Here is a 6,839-nt window from a genome sequence, read left to right as displayed (position 1 = left end):
ATATGCTTCATTATAAGCATTCAAATAGAATCACTGTGAGCAACTTAAATGTCAAGCATTTTACTAGGCCTCAGAGTCCTATGATTATGGAGGAATAAATGAGAGAAAATGTAGGGAACCCAGAAAACAGCTTTTAGAGAACTTTTGAAAAAAGAAGGCTATGTACCTGAATATGCAGATTTCCAGAGCAAAGCATAGATTCTAGGAAAAGGGAAGAAAGCCTGCTTATGTACTATCTTGGTGCACAGATGTGAACTATGGATTTCTTAAATCCCCTACAACGACTGCACATTTATTAGAGTAAGACACATTTTGCTTAAGTGAAAACTTGACCACTCAATAAATGTGACTTTGAGGCTACCTCTCAAACATTTTGAATCTGTATCATCATCAGCCTAATTGGGCTAAAGTACCTCTTCAAACTGCTGCTTTAAGAAGAAAAAAAAAATAGATATAGCATACTCTCTACTAATAAAACAAAATGTTTACTTTCCTTGACCAAACGAAGGGATTGACAGGACACACAGAGGTATAGAGTACGCCTTTTCCTTGGTCTACCAGGATCTGTTTCCAAGGACAGAAATCCTCACAACAAAGACAAGTGTAGTAGTGACTATATCTTCACACTGTACACAGAAACCCCAGCTAGTCTCTTCTGTCCAAGGAAGCTGAAATTTTTTTCAGTCTATACCTACCCCAAAATGCCTTATTAGTAAGGAGCAGCCAGGGTATGATGCAGCCACTGTCCTTTATTATCAACACATCTAAGAAACAAAGCCTTCTGTCTCCACCAATGGCCTCCAAACCCAGAATATAATTTGAATGTCAAATTTCTTAAGATTTAATTTTAAAAATTAGCATCACTCAGAATTAACAGTAAGTTATTCTAAAACTTAGCTAACATTACAAATATACTAAATCTAAGTAGAAAAAAAAGTAAAAAAAAAAAGAAAAAAGAGATAAGAAGCCATTTAGTTGTTGAAGCAGGGGTAAAATTAGTAGAATAATCAAAAATGGGCTAAGAGTTGATGTAATACACCCCCCACAACACACATCTACAGGAAAAAGTTCATTAAATGGGGTGTTTGTGAACATATATGATGCCCTGGCATTTGTAATCATAATGCAATTCAATACCTCAGATAGTGTGAATGAGACAATAGTTTGTGTCTCAAACTCGGTGTAATTTAATAATGAAGATATATAAGCCAAAGAAAGAGAGATACCTAGTTACCATTTTTACAACTTAATTTATTCTTTTGCCCAAATGCCTTTTCCTTTCACTATCATGACCCATGAGAAACTAGTTTTTAGGAAAGTATACCAAGAATCTGCCTGTCTAAAACTGCACAGGTTTACAAAGCCCATTTCTTTCCTATTTTCTAAATAGTTATAGAGAGAATCTTGAAAATTATAGAAAAGCACAATCTTCCTCTACTTTATCTTCATATGCATTCCATATTGTGTCACTGGTAGGAAATAGTATCTTGCCTTCATGCATAGTTCAGCATATAAAAGATAACTATTTGAATAACTAAGCAAAAAGTTTAAGTAACAAAAAGCAAGTCAAGAAAGTATATATACCCCCATCCTTATGTGAGTGTTTTAAAATATGAGCCTGTAAACCTCTAGTTATTAAATAGATAACAGTCAGTCATTGAACTTAAAATCCTAGCCGAGTTAATGTACCAGGCAAAATCCACATTTGAAATATTGTGAAAGCTTAAAAGTTGTCCTTCAACTTCTGTTAGCTGGACTTCTCTGTTTTATTGAGGAATTTGAAACTAAGTGTTTTCATGACTTCTATATTGTAAAATTCCAATTCCAATTATGAGTTTCACCATATTCAGAAGTATTTTCACTGATTTTTCAAGACTTTACTGCTGGGTATTTTCTAATTTATTTCTTTCACTTGGAGGGCAGTAGGTGAGGCTTGCTTGAAATAATTGTTTTTTAAAACTTTTAGTGTCTTACCTACTTCTCAGATAAAGTCCCCACTAATTTACTTACAGGGATCTTAAAGAAAAAAAGCAAGAAAAGTTGGCCTTTAAATAAACAAAAATAATGACATAGCAAATAACTTAGTATTAAATAACCTAAGATCATCTTGAGAGAGGTACAATTTCCATCTTTACCTCAAAAAATTTTGATGGCACTATGAAGAATCACTTGCAAATTTCTTATCGGTCTGTACAAATAAATAGAAGCACGGTTGGTCAAAGTTCCTATGAGAACTAGCACTTTCTCACACCATCAGCAGATTGGAAATCGTTTGTCAAAAACCTTGAGAGACCTTGGAAGTTAAAACAAGAAATAATTTTACTTCAAAGAATTCTAAGTAGAATACCTTTCATATTTAGGTTTCAAAACAATGTTTCCTTTGCTTAATAAACTATAAGTTAAATATTTTATATGACTATCAATGTAGAACCTACTTTTCTTAGGAGCAATCTAAGACTACTCACTCTAATTATCTTGCCGGCCCTATAAATACTAGCACCCCACACCCTCTGTATTAGCCCTGATCACGTTGTTTACAAAGTTTGAAATCTTGCCAAATACTAGTATCCTTTTAATTATTATTATTATTTCCAACTTTCCTTTGTTATTACTTCTTCAAAAGCTAGATATCATTGAAAGCAGCCAACCACAAATGATTTCACCTAAACGTTTTCTTTAGTATAAAAATCTTTAGTTTGTGAATTGATATTATAAACAAGAAGAGAAAGAGCTGAGTCTAGGACTCAAATCTGCAACCTAACACTTATACTGATGAGTCTCAAATTTGATGCACGTTAGAATCAAATAAGGGCCTTCAAAAAATATGCATGTCTCGCTACCACAATGAGCATTGTGTTACAATTGGTCTGTGGTACAACCTGCACATTAGGATTTTTTAAAACTCAGGTGATTTTATTGTGTAGCAAAGTTTGGAAGCCATTGATTTGGACTATGGTTTACAGGCTTTAGGACAGAACTAAATAACACTCTTCCAGCTCTTTTCTCACTTAAAGAAAATTTTATAAATGATAATTGCTTGCAAATCTCTTTTCTACTCCCACTCCTCCTAACCTCAGGAAAAATGAAACAGTTGCCTCTGTCTCATATTTTTTATAAAACTGTAGACATGTCTACAATGAGGAAGTGTTTGAGAAAGACTCTTCATCTTGATTATGTTAATCTTCCTTAGTCAAGAAATGGGAAGTTGAGATCATCCCTCTGCATCAACAGAGACATGTTTATCATTGACATAAAATTGTTTTGGGGTAACCTGAATATATCCTTAGGCTTAGTAAAAGATTCATGTGGGTCACTTTATACTATGTAGAATACTAAAGGCTAAGACTTTTTTTACTTTTCCAAATGGTATTATTTCAGAATTCTAAGTGATTCTATATGAGCGCACCAATTTAACTCCTTAATAGTACTCATGATTTTGCTTCTTCATGGAAAGTATTTTTGACTATAGAGCTTCAGCAAGACTTATAAATAAATGGTGATTTTCTAACATACAGTAATAGCACTTTATAACATCTTTACAAGACAAAATATTTTAAAAAGTTATAAAGTTCAATTTTTATGGACAGTAGTGAGGTAAATAAATACGTTTAGGTCCATTTTACATGGGCTAAAAGTGAAACAAAAAATAGTTATTTCCAGAGACTTCATAGTACTGAAATTGGTTTTTTATAACATTCTAACATCTTAATGTTAGATGCTTTACATATATAATGTTAGATGTTTAAACGGTAGAATTATTCCTTGGATATATATAATCAATATTGTAGGCTTAATTTATTGAATGTATCAGGTGCTCTAGATCTTATCTGATTTCCTTCGTTTAACTAGTAATAACTAAACATTATTTTCAAATATATTTAAACGTGCAATAGTAAAAATAATGAGTTAATCTGTGTTAGTCATAATACTGTTATTGATAAACATAAACAGAATCACAACATTTTGCCAGGAATATGCTAAATCTGGTATGTGAATTATTTCAATTATGTACTCTAAAACTAAATAAGGTGAAGATTATTGTGAACTCAATTTCTAAATGTGGTAATAGAATTAGAGAAGGTAAATGATTTGCCCAGATTACACAAAGAATAAACTGGCATCCAGGATTCAAACCAAGGTAGATCATTTCCAGAATCCATATTTAATATATTGTAATGAAACTAACACCAGACCATGGCTGGGTATGTAACTTTTAAATATCTTGAAGAAAAGTTTTAAAACTTGTACTGGCCACTCTTTATTGGCCAATGAGATCTGTTATCCAGATATTTAGGAACATGAATGCATATTGATTTTATTTTATTGTTAACCAAATACTAGGTGTCACCACATGCAGTCTTACTTTTTATATGATTTGGGATGACAACTAACAAAATCCAAAATATTTTTAGAATAGACCCATAAACATTTTTCAGACTGAATACTCTATTGGAGTTAACTATCTGGATATGAATTAGTGAAGCTTTCTTTCTTAAAAATAATCTGAGCGTATGCATTAAATAGAAGGAGAATATTTATTGCCCATTTGCAGTATATACTTCATATCCCTTCTTTACCCTCTTATTATCTGAAAATCACACTAGTATTAGGGGCCAGGCTCTTTAGCACATCAAACTCAAATGGCATAACCCATAACTGCTTCCTTTGAAGGACATTCTTTAAATAATTAACCCAAGCAGCCTTGAGAGTTTTCTAGTAACTATATTGACAAGGTGATATGTGCTCTGATGTGTTAAGGCAATGCCTAAAACTCAGCAGTTCCTTTTGTAAATTATTGTCATTTCATAATTGCAGACAGAAATTGCATATTTTTAGATGAAATATCTAATAAGCTAACTGTCTATAAATTCTAAGAGGAGTTACCCTTTAAAAACAGTACACTACTTTTTGGTACAGATTGAAAAGCTGTATTAGGGCCGATCATAGTGGCTCATGCCTGTAATCTCAGCACTTTGGGAGGCTGAGGTGGGAGAATCTTTTGAGGCCAGAAGTTCAAGACTAGCCTGGCCAACATAGCAAGACCCTGTATCTACGAAAAAATTTAAAAAATTAGCCAAGCATAGTGGAGAGAAAGAAAGAAAAGAAAAGAAACCCATATCAGAACTATTGATGAACATAAACTGAATTACAGGGATAAGAACTATCCCACTATCTCCAATCCAGAGAGGATGCTAGGATAGTTAAGGGTGCAGGAAATACAAACATACATGAACAAATCCACACATTAGAAACACAAGAGTTATAAAGTCTTTTGATAAGAAAATAAAGAAATATATAAAGGTAATAGCTAAACTTAGATGGATATTTACTGATGACATTATTACATCATAGCCATCTGTAGAGGAGTTTAACTTCTAGACTCAATATATACCTTCTTTTTATATATCATGATATCTCTGTGAGGCAGATATTCGCAGTCCACAGATGAGAAAGCCAAGTTCTAGAGCAGTTGAGTACAAGGTCACACATCCTTAGTGGCTATATTTGACTCTGAAGCACCACACTCTTACCTGCATACCACATTAACTAAATTGTTTGCTTATTTCTGCCTTCCTGGTTCTAAATGTTCTCGCATCTGAGCAGGAGAGAAATACAAGTATATATTTCTAGAATCTTCTCATAAAGCTTCCCAGAACCATAAAATGTGAATGTCTTACATTATCCATTAAAGAGCTAAAAATACAAAATGTGTAGATGAAGAAATACTTGTATTCAATATGATTTTTATTTCAGGTTTTTCTAGTGACAAGTTTAATTTTTTAAAATAGCTTCCAATCAAAAAAAAAAATAAAGGGATGTTATTAGTATAATGCAGTTCTCCAATTTAAAAAAAATAGTTTTAAGATATTGAAAGAAATACATCAGTAAAATTTAATAGACAATACTTAAAAATTTGGAATAGTGAATAATCAATTTAAAAAAACTATCTTCTCAACATGTGCTATAAAAATCTCCTAAATCTAGTTTTCAGGTGCTGGGAGCCATGACACTTTATGCTGTTTATAAAAAAGAGTATAAATGGCATAAAATATGAGGAAAACTCCATGCAACTTAAAAAAAAAATGTTGGAGAATAGAAAAACTATAGTAATTTTGCAGTCCTGAATTACATACACCTAAAATTTATTTTATTAGTGTCCTAAAGTTGCACTGTAATACCTGGGTCTGTAAGGTTATCTGATAATGATTCAAGCCCGCAGTCAGAAACACGTGGTTCTGAAGCTGTGGCTCCACCTCTCTATCTCCACCCTGCAGGCTTGTCACACCTCTAAGTTCTCACTGCTAGTCTTTTTTTTTTTAATTTTATTATTATTAGACTTTAAGTTCTGGGGTACATGTGCACAACGTGCAGGTTTGTTACATATGTATACATGTGCCATGTTGGTGTGCTGCACCCATTAACTCGTCATTTACATTAGGTATATCTCCTAATGCTATCCCTCCCCCCTCCCTCCACCCCACGACAGGCGCCAGTGTGTAATGTTCCCCTTCTTGTGTCCATGTGTTCTCATTGTTCAATTCCCACCTATGAGTGAGAACATGCAGTGTTTGGTTTCTTGTCCTTGCAATAGTTTGCTGAGAATAATGGTTTCCAGCTTCATCCATGTCCCTACAAAGGACATGAACTCATCATTTTTTATGGCTGCATAGTATTCCATGGTGTATATGTGCCATATGTTCTTAATCCAGTCTATCATTGTTGGACATTTGGGTTGGTTCCAAGTCTTTGCTATTGTGAATAGTGCCACAATAAACATACGTGTGCATGTGTCTTTATAGCAGCATGGTTTATAATCCTTTGTGTATATACCCAGTAAT

General features: G+C 33.2%; 1 annotated feature.

Annotated features, from left to right (window-relative positions):
- Window positions 5,484-5,653: an enhancer, noted in NCBI's record as "experimental_97174 CRE fragment used in MPRA reporter constructs". NCBI's record gives its function as "activates a minimal promoter by MPRAs in K562 erythroleukemia cells, with activity observed for the introgressed 6:93935868 variant allele {active_cell/tissue: K562}" and the evidence as "EXISTENCE:reporter gene assay evidence [ECO:0000049][PMID:34662402]".

The sequence above is a fragment of the Homo sapiens genome, chromosome 6, assembly GCF_000001405.40.
Source record: "Homo sapiens chromosome 6, GRCh38.p14 Primary Assembly".
Classification (NCBI taxonomy): domain Eukaryota; kingdom Metazoa; phylum Chordata; class Mammalia; order Primates; family Hominidae; genus Homo; species Homo sapiens.
Note: the sequence above shows the minus strand (reverse complement) of the source record. Positions and strands in the feature narration are given on the sequence as shown.